Source organism: Homo sapiens, chromosome 7 (assembly GCF_000001405.40).
Source record: "Homo sapiens chromosome 7, GRCh38.p14 Primary Assembly".
Classification (NCBI taxonomy): domain Eukaryota; kingdom Metazoa; phylum Chordata; class Mammalia; order Primates; family Hominidae; genus Homo; species Homo sapiens.
The window spans coordinates 9,667,266-9,687,488 of NC_000007.14; the positions used below are offsets into that span (position 1 = coordinate 9,667,266).

At 36.4% G+C, this 20,223-nt stretch overlaps 1 long non-coding RNA gene across 1 annotated transcript in view; it reads left to right on the forward strand.

The window, feature by feature from the left end:
- LOC105375148 (uncharacterized) overlaps window positions 1–20,223 on the forward strand; it is a 147,709-nt gene that overhangs the window by 45,461 nt on the left and 82,025 nt on the right. The gene's annotated exons all lie outside the window — the stretch shown is intronic.

Below are 20,223 nucleotides of genomic sequence, written 5' to 3' on the forward strand. Positions count from 1 at the left end.
GGCCAAACTTTTCCTTCTTAGTTAAGGGTGTGGTTAGTTCCATATGTCCTCAGGTCTAATCAGTTTTGAAGCAGGCAAGACAGACTGTCTTCAAAACCCAAATTCAGTTTGTAAGCTCAAAACACTAGCAAACCTTGCATCTCACCTGCATTTTACCAAGAGTCTTTAGGGCTCTTTTTATTTCTCAAAGATTGAAATCACGAAAACTGAAAGGTACCACAACTTTTATCTTCCCTTTAAAAAATATTAGATCTAAGCGATTGTCTTTCTTTGGGCCAAATTAATTAGAATTCTTTTTACAGACATCACACATAGTGCACCCACAGACAGGCAGAAGAGAACTCCTCCCTTGTTTTCTGTAACCGAGATGTACAGTAAAGGGCAACTAAGTCACAGGCTCTGTTCTTGAAGCATTAACAAATTCATTCAATCAGTAAATTATATATACATGGAAAATTTCATATATTAAGTAAAATATCACATAGACATTGTATTAAATGGTTGTTAAACCATTAAATGAGTGTTCATAGTAGGAAGCCAGATATATGTCTATAGGTAGATTAAAATAGTGAAGAAAGTGAATATTTATCTTAATCATGGATCGTAATCAGCAATATCTGCATAATTTAACATAAAGTGTAAAACATACTCTGAGATAAGCTCAGGGGAACTCTCAGGATCAAGTTACAAGAGATAGAAACAAGAAAGCATTAACAGCCAGGCACCTGGCTCACGCCTGTAATCCCAGCACTTTGGGAGGCCGAGGTGGGCAGATCACTTGAGGTCAGGACTTTGAGATCAGCCTGGCCAACATGGCGAAAACCCATCTCTACTAAAAATACAAAAATTAGCCGGGCATGGTAGCATGTGCCTGTATCCCAGCTACTCGGGAGGCTGAGGCACGAGAATTGCCTGAACCCAGGAGGCGGAGGTTGCAGTGAGCTGAGATCGCGCCACTGCACTCCAGCCTGGGTGACAGAGCGAGACTCTGTCTCAAAATAAATAAATAGAAAAAAGCACTATTTATGTTCAATATATCGTTGTATTATACAAGACCTAAGAGAGAAGTTTGCAAAGGTAACTTAGACATGACTGAAATATTTTTATAGAGAAGGGGTTTTTTGAAAGCTGTAATTTAGAAAGATTAATTCAGGAAGTTGAACGGTTGTACTATGGAAGAAACTGAAATCGAAATTGTACCCAAAGCCGCTTTCATATAAAATGCATTCTTCCATTTTTGGAAACTTTATACTTTAAGTAATATATTCTTTCTTCTATTTAGTAGTTTATGTTCACTATAAAAAACTTGGAAGACGTGCACACATACGCAAAAGAGCTAAAAAAACATAAATTCTTCCGTGGTTTTATCACCTATTTTGGTATGTATATTTTTCTGCTTTTTAAATCAATATCATAGAGAGAGAAAGAGAGAGATCTCAAGCTCAAATGCCTAAACATTCCAAGCATGGAACCTCAAAGAATGTCTAAGACTAATTATGGCAAATTGTGAAGTTAAAGTGCCACTTAAAGAGAAAAGCTGCTGCTAATACCTATGACACTGTTGCCACATAATAATGGTCAAGTGTTCATAGATCTTTCAATTTTTAATAGAAACAGGGAATTAAATTTTCATGCCTAAATATGCTGGCAACAAATTCCATTTAAAATAAAAACCAAAATGTGTGCAAATACCATAAGGGCCCAATAAACAAAATAACCTCTGTGTTGTGTGCTATATTTACCTCAGGGTCAGATTACCAACAATAAAGCAGAGATTAGTCTTGAACTCTGGACTCAGATCTATTAAAGTTGAAATTTCAGCCTTGTGATACATTATACAAATATGATAATATTCGATCACCTTTTTATGCCACGATTTTCTCATCTGTAATACAAGGATAAAATCTTTGCCTCATAGAGCCATAAGGGTTAAATGAATTCATAAATGTGAAGAGCTAACACATCACTAGAGATATATGAAGTGGTCAGTCAGTGATAGTGATATTTTATATAAGTGGTGCCATAAATGTTTAATGTTTCCTATCTTAATCTTTTTAATGATGTTTTCTGAACACATGTTTGCTAATGACTACATGGCATTTCGTCATATATATGTGGACAAATATTTATAATTAGCCAATTCCTTATTATTGGGCTTTTGAAAATTTTTCTAACTAATATTTATTATTTTATTATAAGTAGTACACATATATGTTTACTTTCTTCCTAAGAGTAAATTCCTAGAGATGGAATTATTTGTAGAATTCTATATTTTTTACATTTTTGGTATGTTTTGCCAATTTATCCTCTTCATAAATTAAAAAAAATTATATTTTCATCAACTATGAGTGCTTATTTCTCTGCTTATGTTGGATACTTTTTAATACATTTTGAATTTTTTAAATATTTACTTGATCCTTTGAACACCACAGTATAAATAATGCTTTCTTCATTTGATTGTTGAGGATTTTGTGACACATTAATTTTCGCAAGTTCACACAGTCAAGGAGGGAAGTGGGACAAGAATGTAGGTCGTACAAAGCCCAATTTTTTTGTGAAATGTTTTATATGACACATAGTTTTCCACTGAACAATGCAGGGCTTAAGAGTGCCACCTCAGCTCCACCCCCATGCAGTTGAAAATCTGTGTATAATTTTGACTACCCAAAATCTTTACTAGTAGCTTACTGTTGATTGGAAGACATACTGATAATTTAAACAATCAGTTAACAAATATTTTGTATGTTGTATGTATTATGTACTTTTTTCATACTTCATTTTATTAATTTTATTAAGAAAATTATAAGGAAAATACATTCACAATTAACTAAGTTGAGTTGTATCATCACAAAGGTGTTAATCCTTGCCCTCTTCACATTAAGTAGGCTGAGGAGGAGGAGGAGGAGGAGGTTGGGCTTGTTCTCTCAGGGATCACACAAGCACAATGGGTGGAGGAGGTGGAAGGGGAGGCAGAAGAGGCAGGCACTCTTGGTATCATGTTTATTAAAAAAAAAAAAAATCCCCGTATAAGTAGGTCTGCACAATTTCAACCTGTGCTATTCAAGGGTCAACTGTATTTCTTTGTTTTTAATAGAAAAAAATTACCTCTGAAAATGTAGTTAATAGTAATTTAATATTATAACACTTCAATTGCATGCCAACACTTTTTATTTGCTAAAGATACACCAATATTTTGAGATGAGACCAAAATTTTGAAAAGATATTTCAACTTCATAGAAGTGACAGCAACCAGGATTAAGACCATTCCAAAATGTTTGCACTATACTAAGCTTCAAAGATGAATGTTAGGCCGGGCATGGTGGTTCACGCCTGTAATCCCAGCACTTTGGGAGGCCGAGGCAGGGGGATCACAAGGTCAGGAGATGGAGACCATCCTGGCTAACAAGGTGAAACCCCATCTCTACTAAAAATACAAAAAATTAGCCACGTGTGGTGGCGGGCACCTGTAGTCCCAGCCACTCGGGAGGCTGAGGCAGGAGAATGGCGTGAACCCAGGAGGCGGAGCTTGCAGTGAGCCGAGATTGCACCACTGCACTCCAGCCTGGGTGACACAGCGAGACTCCATCTCAAAAAAAAAAAAGATCTAATACAAAAATACAGGAGATCGAGATCATCCTGGCCAACATGTTGAAAACCCTGTCTCTACTAAAACACAAAAAAATTAGCCAGGCATGATGGTGCACACCTGTAGTCCCAGCTACTCGGGAGGCTGAGGCAGGGGAATCGCTTGAACCCAGGAGGCAGAGATTGCAGTGAGCCGAGATGCACCACTGCACTCCAGCCTGGCAACAGAGTGAGACTCCGTCTTAAAAAAAAAAAACAAACACACATTTAAAAATTCCTTATGCTAGCAGAAACTGTATTATAATAAACAGGAATTTTCTGAAATGAAAGATCAGAAATTGCAGAAATAAAAGGAATCATAGACAGTGTCAACCTTCATAATGTAATCATCATAACAGTGAGAAAATGAGAGCAGAGCTGGGGAACTCTGACTACCTGTCTCCTAGACAACTGAGGTTGATTTTTTGCATTGACGATAAAGTATTAAGATGGCTTTTTGCTAAACCAAGTCGTAGGAGTTTTGTGTTGTTTGGTTTGGGTTTGGTTTTGGTTTTGGTTTAGAGGTAGGGTGTAGCTCTGTTGCCCAGGAAAGGGTGCAGGGGCGATCACTGCCACCTTGAATTCCTTGTCTGAAGTGATCCTCTTGCCCTAGCTTCCTAAGTAACCGGTGCTACGAGCATGCACCACCATGACCAGCTATCTTTTTTTAAATTATTTTTTGTAGTGATGACATCTCAGTATACTTCTTAGGTTGATCTCAAACTCCTGGCTGCAAAGGATTCTCCCACCTCAGCCTCCCAAAGTACTGGGCTTATAGGCATGAGGCACTGCTACCAGCTCAAGTTGTAGTTTTTGGTAGGCACTCCGTAGTAGCTAAGGACACATCATTCACCTAATGATGAACACACTAATTCATACTTTTAATTTCTAAATTTCCAAGTCAGTGCCTTTGGCTTCTGACTCTTTTGGTTTATTTTATTTTCACCACTACACTCTTTATTGAAAGCAATGGACAAAAAACTAGAACTATAAAGAAACTTATGTCTTTTTATTACTATCCTAGTTGGATAAACGTATGCAAGATGTTTTCCCACAGTTATTGAAACACTAACTTCTTTATAAAAGCAGTGCGATAGAATTGACTTAAATTGCTCAATTGTATCATTACTATAATCGTTTTGAGTGTGAGTTAACATAAATAGATGTATGACTTTTTCTGCTGTCTAGGGAAAATCTCAATGGAGACACTGACAAATAAGCTTCTTCTTTATGCATGTAGCCTATTTTACTCCATAGTCATGAAAAGATACATGACAGTGTCTCTAATAGTTTCCTGTTCTATTTTGAATTATCTTTCAATACAGGAATTCCTTGTGTTATAAGCACACTTTGAGTGGATTTAAATTTGAAGCCAACTAACTCGAAGCTCAATTACATGTCAGATTTGTCTCAAGCCTTTTATTTCTGTTTGTGTCCGAAAAGACTGATTCCATGGTCATAGGTTTGAGGTTATTTGTTCTTAAGAACAATATCTGGGTTATCTGTCATTGGGACAGGCAGCCAATGTTGGCGGTGCAGAAATATTCTGGGCCCCACTGCAGGGTTACAGTTCATAGACCCGGTCTCTCTAGAAGATATATGAGTCCTCCCACCATTGTTCAGTGTTCAGTCCAGGAGTTTAACAGAAGAAATCAATGAGGTGCAACTGTGCAAAATAGGGGTCAAATATGTACAGCTGTGGCTCCACATGTATCAGATAGCTCTGTTTGATTTTTCTCTAGACAGTATTCATTATCAAAATGGGCTTCAGAAGCTTTTTATTAAAAACAAATTGATGTTAATTAATTCAGATTACAGTGGCCATTAGTCAGCTATCTCATTGCAGAAAACTGAATCAAATCAAGACTGTTCCCTGCAATCTCTGAGAGTTTCCTATCTTTAAATCTAATTGTAAATTGGAATTCTTATGTATTAAGTTAAAGTAGGCTTCTTTACTCTGGCTGTCTCTTGACTATCAGCTGCCTTGTTCCTTTGCTGCTTAACTTTATTTTAGGAGTCCGTATTATGTTTCTACTTATTTACTGATAATATTTAATAATTTATATTTTCCTATCTATCATGGTTTTTTGGATGCAATTAAATTATATGTATTTTCACTTAAATATTTGGAATTTTAAATCTAAAGACATTTTTAAAGGAATAGTTTTTGTTTCCTGTTTTATAAGAGAAATATATGAATTCTAACAAATTACTTCTCTGGGGTTTTAACTATTCACACTCTATAATTCTTTTCCTGTATATTATTTTTCTTTCATGCCTTATCTCTTCCCAACAAACACGCACATACATAAACAAAAAGAAGAAAGAAGCCTGTCAAAAATCCTTTATTTTTTTCTCTTTTCCTATAATTAGTATGAATAAGAATCAGTTCGATTGCCTTTTTTCTCTTTGTCTTGGTCGTTTGCCTCTCTGAGTGACCAACAAATCATGTATAGGCAGATATGAAATTTGTGTGCTTCTTTTTCCTCTCTTTTAATTTGGACGGATGAACAGTAGAAAGCCAGAAATAGGAGGCTGAATCTCTAGAAATAGTATGTGAGAGAACAAGAAAGGTATGAGTGAATGTGTGTGTATGCAAGGAGGGTGGGGGAGCAGAGGAGAAGTTTAAATGATTTGCAACAGGACAAGGGATTGTGGAAAGATGAGACTATTGGGGTACAAGTTGTAATGAGGAGGAAATTGGAGCTGATGTAAAAATTGCGGCCAATACTGCTCTGAGATCGGCAACAAACACAGACCCCTCTCTTCAGGTGGTCCTTACCCTCTGAAGTGTCACCTTCAAAACTTTCTACATCCTGCTTCAGTGTCTCTGAAAATCTAGGCTGGTTGTACTACTTTGCTGGGGCACCCCAAGCCCACACTGGGACTTGCAATGGCCTTGCTCTCTGTTTCTATATTATGGGGTTTCTCCGTCCCCACCCCCATCAAAACTGAGGTCATCTAGAAGACCTGAGGGGCCCCAGGATTTGCAAATATGAGAGCATTCCAGGGTTCTCTGTCCAGGTCCTTGCGTCCTGGTTCTAGAAGGGCAGGCTGGCACGTGAATTATTCCCTTTAGTTACTTAGGCATTTCTCTAATGGGACCATATGAAATCAGGCTGGCACGTTGGTGGTGGCATATCAATTTGAGGTGATAATCACTCCTGTGTTCCCCCGACCACTCACCAAATACTGGCACCTATCCGTCAGCAGAGAAATCACAGGGTAAAATAAATCTTGATCAAATCTTCCACAGGTTGTCACTTCTATTTCTTCATTGTTCTATAATGCCAATGAACCTTTTTAAGCAATGTCTTTGCTTGCCTGTAAGTGATGTGGTGACATTGTGCTCTCCTGGGTCAGTCTTAAGCCATGACAGAAAGGGGAAGTCTGTTTCTTGTGTGAATGGGACCACTAATCTCACTCCACCCACAGATCCTGTGATAGACGGAGTGTTTGTCTCCCAAAAAAGCCGTACGTTGAAATCAAATCCTCAATGTCATAGAATTTGGATGCGGAGTCTTTGGGAAATAAATAGGCCATGGGCATGGAGGCCTGATGAATGCCCTTTTAATTAGTGCCTTATAAAAACAGGTCAGAGATCAGGCTCTCTTTGCTTTTTGCCACATGAGGACACATCAAGAACACAGCCCTCTAAACCAGCAAAAGGGCACTCACCAATTACACAACCATACTGGCACCCTGATATTAGACTTCCAGCCTCGAGAACTATGAGAAATAAATGTTTTTATTTTAAACTACCCAGTCTATGAAAAGTTGTTTTAGCAAACCCAAACTGACTAAGACAGGCCTTACCTATACCCCCTTCCAGCTGGTGGTAGTATATATAAAAATATCTCACATATTAAGAATATGGTGATCACAGCCTCAAAAATTCAAGGAAAGATATAGTTGGAAGATGGATTATTCTATTTTTATGCTATCAAATTTTATGTACTCAAATTAACCAGATAATTTCCTGAATACTCTAGGTCAGACTTGTATTTTTGGTCATCGTCAAAACAGTACAGTAACATGTTTTGAGAGAGTCATTGGAAGCCAGTTCTTTGGGCAGCATGATGGATGGTGCAGTCATGAGTAATGATGTAACCAGCACTAAATAAATGGTATTAGGGAACTGTGGTAGCAAGAAGATCTATATTGTTTCAATACAAACAGGTTGTGGAGAGCCTGACATTGTGAGTAATAATAGTGTTGCTACCTTTTTCAAAATGGGAGATGTGAAGTTAACTAGTTATGACATATTTGAAAGAAGAGGACATGAAAAAGTGGCTCCTGGACCTCAACATAGAGAAATTGTACCTGGACACTACAAAGAATTATCACATGAACTGACTGAATAAACAAATACCTATACTTCTCCTCTACCATTATTTTAAGTCTTCACCAGTAAGTCACTAAGCCTCAAATAGGCCCACATGTTTTTAATACATATTTAATCAAAGTGTTGATATACATAGAAACCCTGCAAGAAATATTTTTCCAGGATTCTGCATGTACTAGGGGCAAGTCCACTTCACCAATTGGATCTGGTGATCCATTTGGATACCTAGAGATGTGTGCAACATGATCATACCTTGAAAATGGCAAAAGCACCTTACATTTACAATATGGATGACAATTATAATTTTCTTAAAGAAAGAGGAAAGCGCATTATTTTCCCAATTATGAAGAGAGGTCTGTAAGAGAGACAGGAAATAACCAAAAAGGTAACTAAAAACAAATAAATAAATCATGGCAAAGATTTTTCTGAATATTTCTCTCCTATTTTAAGCATTCAAACAAATGTAGTTGAGAGCTAGCTATAATTCTGAAGAGTTTGAATATATTTGCTTCTTGTAGACTGAGTTCACATGTTTGAACTGATGGAATTTAATGAATTCATTCAACCTTATTTGAAGAACCACATACGTACCAGGTATACAAATATAAAAATTATGTATTTTTTGTCTTTGAGCTACTAACAGTTTAGTAGAAGAGGAAAACATGTAAACAAATGATTACACAATATGTTTTGAGGACAAACTGAAGAAAGAAACTAAACTCTATGGGAAAATAGAAAGAAGCTTTTTATGTGGTAATTACCGAGCAGTCTTGCAAGATTAATAGGCGTTTCCAGGGACATCAGTGAAATAAATCTAATACAGGAAAATGGATATGTATGCAAATATTAACATTGACTCCAACTTCCTGTTTCCCTTACTCTGTGGCTTAGATTCCTGAGTTTGAAAATATTTCTCATAAACTTTAATTTACCTCTGCAGTTTGTCAGAGTTAGAGGAGTATTAATTGGTGTTATTTTAAGGGGTATTTGTCAATTTCCAGACTTGCAAAATATTACACACAATGTATATATCAGCCTGGCCCTTGATGTTAATGAATTAATTCTGAATCGCAGTTCCACATTCTATAGAATTCAGTCTCTCTCTCGAGTGAACAGGAATTGCCAGAGGTTTATCTCTTAGGTTCTTTCACCTGGCTCCTGCTTCCATGCATGCTGTATCACTTCTGTCATACTGATGAAGGTATGAGACTGAGCCTTTTTACCACTTCCTTAAGAAACTACTTTTCTTATGTCTTGACATGCTCAAATCTTCTTTGACATATTCACGCTTTTCATGTCCCACCCAATTATGTGGAATTACCTAGACAGTTTCCTAAGCAAGACAGCATCCTCTTTACTGATGCCTTGGTTTGTTTTTTAAGGGTGATTCCCAAATATGGCTGCATATTAAAATCACCCAGATGAGAATTACAAGACAATACACAGACCCCAGAATACCATCTGTTGATATTGTGATTTAATTGGCCACAGGTGAGTACAAGGTACTGCGCTTTTAAAAGCCTCGCAGGTGATTCTTATGTGCAGCCAACTATTTTATAGATTACCACAATTTGTATAAGTTTGAAAAACATCTTGCTCAATTTTTTTTAGGTTTGAGCTTTATATAAATTAGACCAAAAGTATGTGTTTTCCTGTAATTTTATCTCAACATTGTATCTATTGCTTATTCACACTCTCACTGTTGCATAATATATAATAGTATATATACATATATACACATACATATGTATATATATATGTATATATATAGTGCAATAATATATTTAATGGATTTGAAGATTAATGCATATATTGCTCTTAACAATGCTTCCTGAATATTTTAAAATAGCTTCTGGTGCAAATTTTCAAGTGTTTCTTATAAGGTATATATAATGTATTGAAATTTAGCAAGTTATCCGAAATTATTTTCCTAAGTGGTTGTACCAGTGTACATGTCCAACAGCAGCGTATGAAGTCATTGTACCAGTGTATGCTCTCAACAGCAGCCCATGAAAGTTATCCTTTTCAAGGATGAGTTCACATGCTCATCTGCAGGGGAAGTCCCTATCATAGTTATCTTGGCTAGTGCCTGATAGCTACCCTTCAGGGCCAGCGGGAGCCCAGTTAGAAGGCCAGAAGTAGCCTGTGTAGCCATTCATCTTTTTTGCTGACTGACAGTGGGCAGCACTTACTATCAGTGGTCAGAGTCTCCAGGATTTCTATTTGCTCATTTCTGGCTATCTGCCTATTCTAACAAAATGAAATCATGAAGATAGAACCCTCATAGTGGGATTAATGCCCTCATAAGGAGAGACACCAGAGAGCTCTTTCTCTTTCCATATAGCCACAAAGAAGAGGTCATGTAAGTATACAGAGAGATGGTGGCAATCTATAAGCCAAAAGAAGAGGCTTAAGAATAAAAACCTACTTTGTTGACATCTTAATTCTGAACTTCACAGTTTCCAGAATGGTGAGAAAATAAAATTCAATTGTTTAAGCTACACAGTATGTTAGTTTTTTATGGCCGCCTAAGTTGACCTATATATCCACTTACAAACACACATCACCCACATACAATACTACATTTATGTATATTATATTCTGTCTAGCACTTTTAGTTAGAAAGTGGAGGCTAAGCTTTTCTCTAAACATCTTTCTCAAAATTGTTGAAAATGAATATTCTTATATTTTCAGTGTCACATAATTACTAAGATAGTTCTTTTAATATATTTGTTATAAATTGTGATCAAAATTGTGATGAAAATAAATGAGATAGTTGCTTTACTATCAAAAATCCTGTTGATTAATTCCAATTCAAGATAGTTGTAGGTGTCTGAAAGCCAAAGTTTGTGATTAAAAACTTGATGAACAGAATGTATTTGATTGGACAGCAGAGTAAAAGGAACTGAAAATAGGGAAAATGGGCAGTGGAAGTTTAAGGCAATTTGCTATAATTATTAAAACATAGGCCTCTGTTAAGTGGAGGATCAGGAGAAAATTTTTGCAGATGACTTTCTTGGGAAAAAGATGCCTACGAATCCAGAAAAAAACAATCAGAATTTCAGAGGTGAATGCTATTTCCAGACACAAATTAATAGTGAATCAAATGAAGTGTAATATCCACTTCCCTCTCTTGCACAGGTCCTCTAGAAGATCCTGAATCTATTTTTTATTAACAGTCTTGTTTCCTCTTTATAAAGAGTATCCCTTAAGTAATTTGGATATTTGTATCTGCCCAAATATCATGTTGAATTCCAATATCCAATGCTGGATGTGGGGCCTGATATGTGTTTGGATCATGGGGACAGATCCCTTATGAACCATGTAGCCATCCCCTTGGTGATAAGTGAGCTCTCACTCTGAGTTCACACAAGATCTAGTCATTTAAAAGTGTGTGGCACATCCCTTCCCCCAACTCTTTCTCACTTGCTTCTGCTTTTGACAAGTGATGTGCCTGTTCCACCTTCACCTTCCACCATGATTGAAAGCTTCCTGTGTCTTCACCAGAATCCCAGCATATGCCAGCATTATGCTTCCCATTTATACATTCTAGTAGCCACATTTTTAAAAGTAAAAGGAAACAGATGAAATTACTTGTAATAATATATTTTATTTAATCCAATATGTCAAAATTATCATTTTAATATGTAATCAGTATAATAAATTATTAATTAGATGTTGTACATTTTCTGTATACTTATAGAACATCTCAAATTTGGCAAGTTACTTTTTGATGTACTCAGTAGCCACATGTGGCAAGGCACTATGAATTGTATGTGCAACTATAGGAAGGAACAAATAAATCACTTAGGTGTTGGGACTTTCACGTACTCTGTCTAAACTTCCCTGGATTTAAATACCACTGGTAGAAAAGAGGTATTTTGATGGATAGACTCCTATCTAAGAAAGATATTTGAAGAAAGAACAAAGAAAAAAATGACCCAAGTTTTCTTTTCTGGGTTATCAAGGTTAAAGAACCATGGCCGTATCAGTCAGAGGGGCATGACTTTGAAGAGGTCATTGCTCAGAGAAAACGACCTAGGAGTCAGAGACATTACTTACAACAGGAAACTAAGAATTCCCCATACTAGATAGGACCAACATTAGTCCATTTAAAATATAATTACTTTTCTGTTCCTGTGGTTGTTAGCTAAGGATAATGGCCTCCAGCTCCTTCCATGTCCCCACAAAGGACAGGATCTCATTCTTTTTTATGACTGCATAGTATTCCATGGTATATATATACCACATTTTCTTTATCCACAATCAAATACTACATATTCTCACTTATAAGTGGGAACTAAATGATGAGAACGAATGGACACATACAATGGAACAACACACACTGGAGCCTTTCAGAGGGTGGAGGGTGGAGGGAGAGGATCAGAAAAAAATAACTAATGGGCACTAGGCTTAATACCTGGGTGATGAAATAATCTGTACAACAAACCCTTATGACAGAAGTTTACCTATGTAACAAACCTATACTTGTAATTCTGAATTTAAAATAAAAGTTAAAAATAATAACACACACACAAACTCTTTGATGATGGCTTCTGAAATATTTTACCTAAAATGACTACCTGATAGTTAGGTCTTACAATCCCTTTGTAATTTATCTTGGGTAACTATCTTAATCCATTTTGTATTTCTGTAACAAAACTTCTGATACTGGGTAATTTATAAAGAAAATAAGTTTATATGGCTCATAATTCTGGAGACTGAGAGGTTCAAGAATCATGGTGCTGGCACCTCATTGACCTCTGGTAAGGGCCACATGCTGTTTCACAACATGACAAAGCATAAAGGTGAGTGAGCATGTACAAAGAGGCACACATGAGGGCTACAAACCCACTCTCACAGGAAATGAACCGTATCTGTGAGAGGTAGAACCCGTGTGCTCATTCTTGAGAGACAGCAGTAATCTATTCATGAGAGACCCACCCCCATAACCCAAACACCCCCTACTAGGCTCCGCCTCTCCACAGTGCCTCATTGAGGACCAACCTGCCACATTAGTTTCAGTGAAGACAAACCATGGACCAATCATAGCAGTTACAGAACTATCCCTCCATTAGTTAATTTAAAAAATAGCTTTCATAGTAAGGAACAGCAGGAAAAAAAATGGAAGGAAAATAGAGAAAGAATATCTACTGTTAAGCCAGCACAATGGTTTTCTTATTTCCTCACAAAGAGATGATTTAGATTATCTAAATTGAGAAACCTTATTTTTTGTTCATTTATTAATTTGCTTTTATTTTTAAATAGGCTCAATCTTTTTGAACTGTATGTGTGTTTTCTCTATAAGACTCCCACCATGAGATGCAAAATTCATGTGCCCAACCATTTAAGTGATTTTTTAATAATATAGGAAGAATAATTCCTGAATTAGGATATTCTTAGCACATTGTTCCACTCTATACATTACAAATGTAAAGCAGGCAACAGTACTGTCTCTCCACAGGGAGAATTTATGACATAGTGCTATTATAAACCCAAAGATTTTATAGTGTTTCATTTTATGGTCTACTCTGCCTAAAATGACCTAAGGTATAATTTTCCTCCCACTGATTGATGCCATCTACAAAGTGCCATTGCTATTGAAGGGTTGGGCTGAACCCATAAGAAAATAATTCTCACCTTTATAGCTTTTGCTTCTAAGCCCAGGTGGTAATGAAAGGGTGGTACATCAGTAAAAGGTTATTCATTAAGTGCCCTTAAGCATGTTTGTAAGTACAGGGAATCAGAAAGACTCTAAGAACAGTTCTGACCACAACTTTTGGTCATTTGAAGCAATTACCTGAGGCGCTCTCCGTGAATGCTTACAGAGCAACTGAATTGTCTAAGAAAAAAAGGAAAAAACAGTGGATTCCTAAATAAGTTTTACAGCTCATGTGGTCTCTGTAGCCATTAAGCACATCATCTCACATGAGACCAAGCACCTGCTGATCACCTCAAAATATATTTCATCTGTAGCTGGGTATGTGTAATCTCTCAATGTCCTGTTCAAGGTAAAATACACTTCCTTTCAAAAGGTCCTTGGTAATACACATTAAAAAGAGCTCTTGGAATAATGCGCATGAATTTGGAAGAATTGACATATTTATTGTGAACAAAATATATCACTGGTGAACGTAGTCAGTGTATTTCAACTCAATCAGTGTGTTTGAATTTCAATTCAATCAGTGTAACAATAGGTCAAGTTTTAGAAATCTTCAGTTAGGCCAGACAATCATTATTAGATGACTCAGCACTGTAGTTCTCATGTACTAACCACATACAAGCATAGTATTAATTAGAAATCAGTCAGTCTCAAGTATAAACCCCAACACTTCACTCTTCTGTCTTTAGTTAGTGTTTCCCATTGGTTGTGCTTGTTTTAATGTTGGAGCTATTTGTCCCTGGTTAGATAGACGGATGGATAGATAGATATAGATGTAGATACGGGTATAGATATCTCACTTATTTTATTCTAGAGTTGTGTTGATGCTTACATTTAAATAGTACTATTAGCCTTTTATCTTCTCCAGGATGAGGACTGTGCCTGCTTCTTATATTCTCTATAGATGCCTTAGGAAAAGATATGTTCACACCATGGGCAAAATTAATATTGAGAAGCAGTTGCCTTAGGTCACATATAAGTAAAAGACATACCTATGAACTTTAACAAATGTAAGTTTTACATAAACTTATTACTTGATTTGGTTACACAAGTAGTTATGGAAAACACAGGAAGTGTACTAAGTGAACACTCAATTTTTTTCATAGGCCATACATGCTTAAAGGTATGAATCGGTGATATGGACAGGAGACAGGGAAATTTTGGGTAGAAGAGGGTGGTTCCCTGGCAAAGGCCCCGCCCTCAAGCCTGAAGACCTGCTGCCCTAAATGAGGACAGGCAGTTCTGTTTTTGCACCCAAAAAGTCGTCCCTGTCGCACATTCTGCAAAAGGAATCAGGGAACTCTCCCATTTCATTGGTACTTGCAATCAGCTCTAATTGAAACATATTTTTACCCTTTGGGAAAGAGGTGATTAGACATTTATTTTTCACTTTATTTCTTAGTTATTGAAAAATAGAGGTCAGAGTGAAAAAGCTATTACTTCAGGTGTTCAGGTGCCACCAGGCACTTGTCTGTTGGGATGGACACCAATTGTGAAGAATGTAAGAGAATTCCCTCTTAAAGGAAGAGCAGAGAGGAAATAAAAGCCTCTTTGGATAGACTACACTCTGATGCATTGATATGGTTTGGCTGTGTTCCCACCAAAATCTCATCTTGAATTGTAGCTCCCAAAATCCCCACGTGTTGTGGGAGGGACTCGGTGGAAGACAATTGAATCATGGGGGCAATTTCCCCATTACTGTTCTCGTAGTAGTGAATAAGTCTCACAAGAGCTGATGGTTTTATTAGGGGAAACCCCTTTCTTTTCTGTCTTCCCAGCCATCATGTAAGATTTGTCTTTTGCCTTCCACCGTGATTGTGAGGCCTTCCAAACCATGTGGAACTGTGATTCCATTAAACCTCTTTTTTTTGTAAATTACCTAATCTCAGGTATGTCTTTATCAGCAGCTTGAAAGTGGACTAATACATGTATGATCCCAAAATAAAAATATTTTCTTCTTTCCTTTTTATTTTGATTTTTTTCTAAAATATGATAGGCATTAGCCAGGTGCAATGGCTCACGCCTGTAATCCTAGCACTTTGGGAGGCCAAGGTGGGCAGATCACTTGAGGTCAGGAGTTCGAGACCAGCCTGGCCAACATGATGGAACCCTGTCTCTACTAATAGTAGCAAAATTAGCGGGGCATGGTGGCACATGCCTGTCATCCCAGCTATTCAGGTGGCTGAGGCACAAGAATCACTTGAACCCAGGAGGCAGAGGTTGCAGGGAGCTGAGATCACGCCACTGTACTCCAGCTTGGGCAACAGGTGAAACTATGTCTCAAAAAATAATAAATAAAATAAAATATGTTAGGCATTAATCCAAGATTGGACTCAGTATGATAACACAAAGAGTGAGAATTGTATTTTACTCATCTTATGTATAGGACAGTACAGCTTAACAAAGGCCTGTTCTCTTAAGTACAAAGTCAGCTGTGCTTGCTCAGACTTTCGGGATCATTATACTAAAGTAACAGTTTAACCAGCTTATTCAGCTCAAATTGAGACAAACTATTCTGGCAGGAGGTCTTCTTTACAACTAGGTTGATTAATGTAATGAAAATTCACAAGTTGTCCTCAATGATTTTCTAATCCTAGCTCCTGGTGGGTCTTGCTTGCTTTTGAGTATTTTATTTTCATAAGCACTACCCAAAAAAGAAGCTGGAAATGAGGAGACTTCTTAATGCTCCTAAATCCATACTCTTCTGATAAGCACAGAAGAATGTGTCAACATTATTCCACTGTTATCCTTTGCCAGCTCTTAGCTATTCTAGAACAGGAGCAACAGTAAATCTTGTTAGGGAGTAGTATACCACCATGATTAAACTTGCAGTCTCCAGAAGAGGCAAACTGGATATTAATTACATTCACCTGTTCGGTTATATGTAAATAAAGAATGCTGTGTTTCTCACAAGACAATATAAATATTAAGAGAGATGAAAATGTGTGACATGTAGAGGGGTTTTAGCAAAAGCTAGTTCTTTTAATTTTAGTGCCTTAATATACAAAAATACATGAAAAATGTATTAAACTCTCTGACTTTATAAAGCAGAAAGTGACACACTTGTTGGTGTTACTTAATTTTTAATATTCCTTACTGTCTTGGACCCTGATTTTCAACTGAGTGTATTATAACAAAAGTACATTTTCCAGTCCCTGTTGTTGTCAGGGATGGCCAGTAAAATTGTATCTGAAAGTGGCATAGGACACTTCTAGGAATTATCCTTATAGAAAGAGAACAGTGTCTCTATTCTTTTTTCCCTTCCTCTTCCTTGGAGTTTGATATGATGGCTGGTGCTCCAGCCATCATTTTGGATCAAGATGATAAATATGTAATACATGCCCTGGATTGCTTAATTCCAAATTCAATTTATATAAGGAAAATGATTAAATTTATTTGTGCCTATTATGTGAAAAAGAGATGAACATCTGTCTTTCGTAAGTCACTCTTATATTGTTCCTTTTGTTATTCTGTTGTATGCAAACTTAATCATATTGTCCAGGCATTCCCAAATTATCCTCTCCTGGGGGTGACTGGACTGTATGTGAAAAAACCCAGTAGCCACTCAATTATTTTTAAAGGAAAGAAATTTTTTTAAACTGTTAGTATATTTAAAATTTTTAATTAGAAGAATTAAATCTATTAAAAGAATAAGGGGAATGTTTTTTGAAATATAACATTTATGTTCATCTGCAATGGTAATACATGTCAATTGTAGATTTTTTAACAATAGGCAAAACACAAAAGAAAACAGAATTCAACGTAATAATTTACTGATTTTCTGTTTATTTCTAAAGAAGTGTGTGCCTGACCATGATTAGAATTTGAGATATGTTTTGTCAGAGATGGAAATATATTCAAATATTTTAAACCCAGATGAGAAGAGAACATATTAAATTTAATTTAGTTTCGCTTTGCCACATCAGATGCTCAGATGTCTTTGAATAGGAAAAGAACAATAAGTTGAAGTGGCCTTTGTGGGAAATTCTACTTGTATTTCTAGAAGTTTATTTTCTTGGCTTGTTGGGAAGTCCAAAGTTAGCCAGGATAGTTACCACTTCTTGAACAGGCATTTTTGGGAACCAGCTTAAAATGTGGTTAATAACATGTGGAAGCCAAAAGTACAAATGTGGAAGCTCAATATTGGTTGAGTAGGTGAAAATTTCTATGCCATCAATGACTCTAAATGTTAACTTTCATTCTTACACCAAGTGTTGTACTTTGTTCCTTTTTTTTTTTTTTTTTTTTTTTGAGACGAGTCTCACTCTGTCACCCAGGCTGGAGTGCAGTGGCATGATCTCAGCTCACTGCAGCCTCCGCCTCCTGGGTTCAAGCGATTCTCCTGCCTCAGCCTCCTAAGTAGCTGGGGCTACAAACACAAGCCATACCACCCAGCTAATTTTTGTATTTTTAGTAGGGACGGGGTTTCATCATGTTACCCAGGATGGTCTCGATCTCCTGACCTCGTGATCCTCCCGCCTTGGCCTCCCAAAGTGCTGGGATTACAGGCGTGAGCCACTGTGCCCGGCCACTTTTCTCCTTTCTTTACATAAGAAAAGCTTTTACTTCACACATAGCAAATCCAAAGTAGTTAATACATATGATATTTTGCAGATGTTTCCAAATTTTCTGATATATACTTCAAAATGATCCCAAGTTATCAGGGGTGGCAGAGGTCTTTGCCTGTAGTTATGCCATTTTGGTCTCAGGCAAATACCTTTGAAATATTTTACAGAAAAGATCTTCTCTACCTTTTATCTTGTCAACTGTTACTCGTATTTCAGGTCTAGTTTAAATGGAAAATGCTCAGGTAAGCCTTTCCCAAACTAACAAATAGAATTATTCTCCTTCATTATATGGCTTGAGCCATTACTTGGCATGACACAGGTAAGCTCTGTTTTCTACTGGATCCTTAGTGCCGTAAACCTAGTGTGGCTGGGTGGAGTGCCTAACAAAGTAGAAAGTTCTTTACACCTATTTAATCAGTGACAAATTGAATTAATATATTTTCATAAATTTGAAATAACCACAGTTAAAATGAATTCAGATTATCTTCATTGATTAGAAATTTAGGATTGTTGAGTATGTAGCATGTTTTATATTGATCAAGTTTTCATCCTCAAAAAGCGAGTGAGGATTTGTTGGTCAAATTTCTTAACAAACATGCAGCATGCTGATAGAAAATGGAATACATAATAGGTGAGTTGTTTTTGTTTGTTTGTTTACCAATACTGTTAGATGCAACCTGATTTTTAAAAATAGATTTAGGGGGTACAAATGCAGTTTTATTACATGAATAAATCATTTAGTGGTAAGGTCTGGGCTATGAGTGTAACAATTTTTCAAATACTATACATTGTACCTCACCACCAGCCCACCATCTATTTTTCCACTCTCTATGTCCATGTGTGCACATTCTTTAGCTCCCAATTTTATGTGAGACCAAGTGGTATTTCAGTTTCTATTTCTGAGTTGTTTCACATAATATAATGGCCTCTAGTTCCATCTATATTTCTGCAAAATACATGATTTCTACTAAGCTGTATTCCATGATGTATATGTGTATGTATGTGTGTGTGGGTATGTGTGAATATATACACTACATCACTACATTTTTTATCCAATTATCTGTTGACGAACCCTTAGGTTGATTCTTGACCTTTGCTATTATGAATTGTGCTGTAATAAACATACAAGTGCAAGTGTCTTTTGGATATAATAATTTCTTTACTTTAGGGTAAATACCCAGTAGTGATTGCTGGATCAAATAGTAGTTCTATTTTTAGTTCTTTGACAAATCTCCATACTGTTTCCCATAGAAGTTTGTACTAATTTACATGATCACCAACAGTGTATAAGTATTTCCTTTTTTCTGCATCCTCCCCAACAACTGTTGTTTTGACTTTTTAGTAATATCCACTCTGACTGGTGTAAGATGGTATGTCATAATGGGTTTAATTTGCATTGCTCTGATGATTACTGATGTTGACCATGTTTTCCTTCATTGCTGGCCATTTGTATATCTTCTTTTGAAAAAAATCTGTTCATGTTCTTTGCCTATGTTTTAATGGGGTTATTTTTGTTTTTCTTTTTGAGTTGTTTGAGTTTCTTATAGATCCTGGATATTAGCCTATTGTCGGATGCATAGTTTGCAAATATTCTCTTCCATATTATAGATTGTATTTTTACTCTATTGATTATTTCTTTTTGTTGTGCAGAAGCTTTTTAGTTTAATTAAATTCCATTTATTTATTTTTGTTTTTGTTGCCTTTGATTTTGAGGTCTTAGGCATAAATTATTTGCCTAGACAAGTATCCAAAAATGTTTTCCTAGATTTTCTTCTAGAATGTTTATAGTTTCACGTCATACACTTTGGTCTTTAATCCACCTTGAGTTAATTTTTGTATATGTTGAGAGCTATGGGTCCAGTTTCAATTTTTTTGCATACAGCTAGCCAGTTTTCCCACCACCATTTATTGAACAGAGTGTACTTTCCTCAGTGTATGTTTTTGTCCACTTTATTGAAGATCAGTTGATTGTAGCTATATTTCTAGGTTCTCCATACTGTTCCATTGATGTATGTGCCTATTTT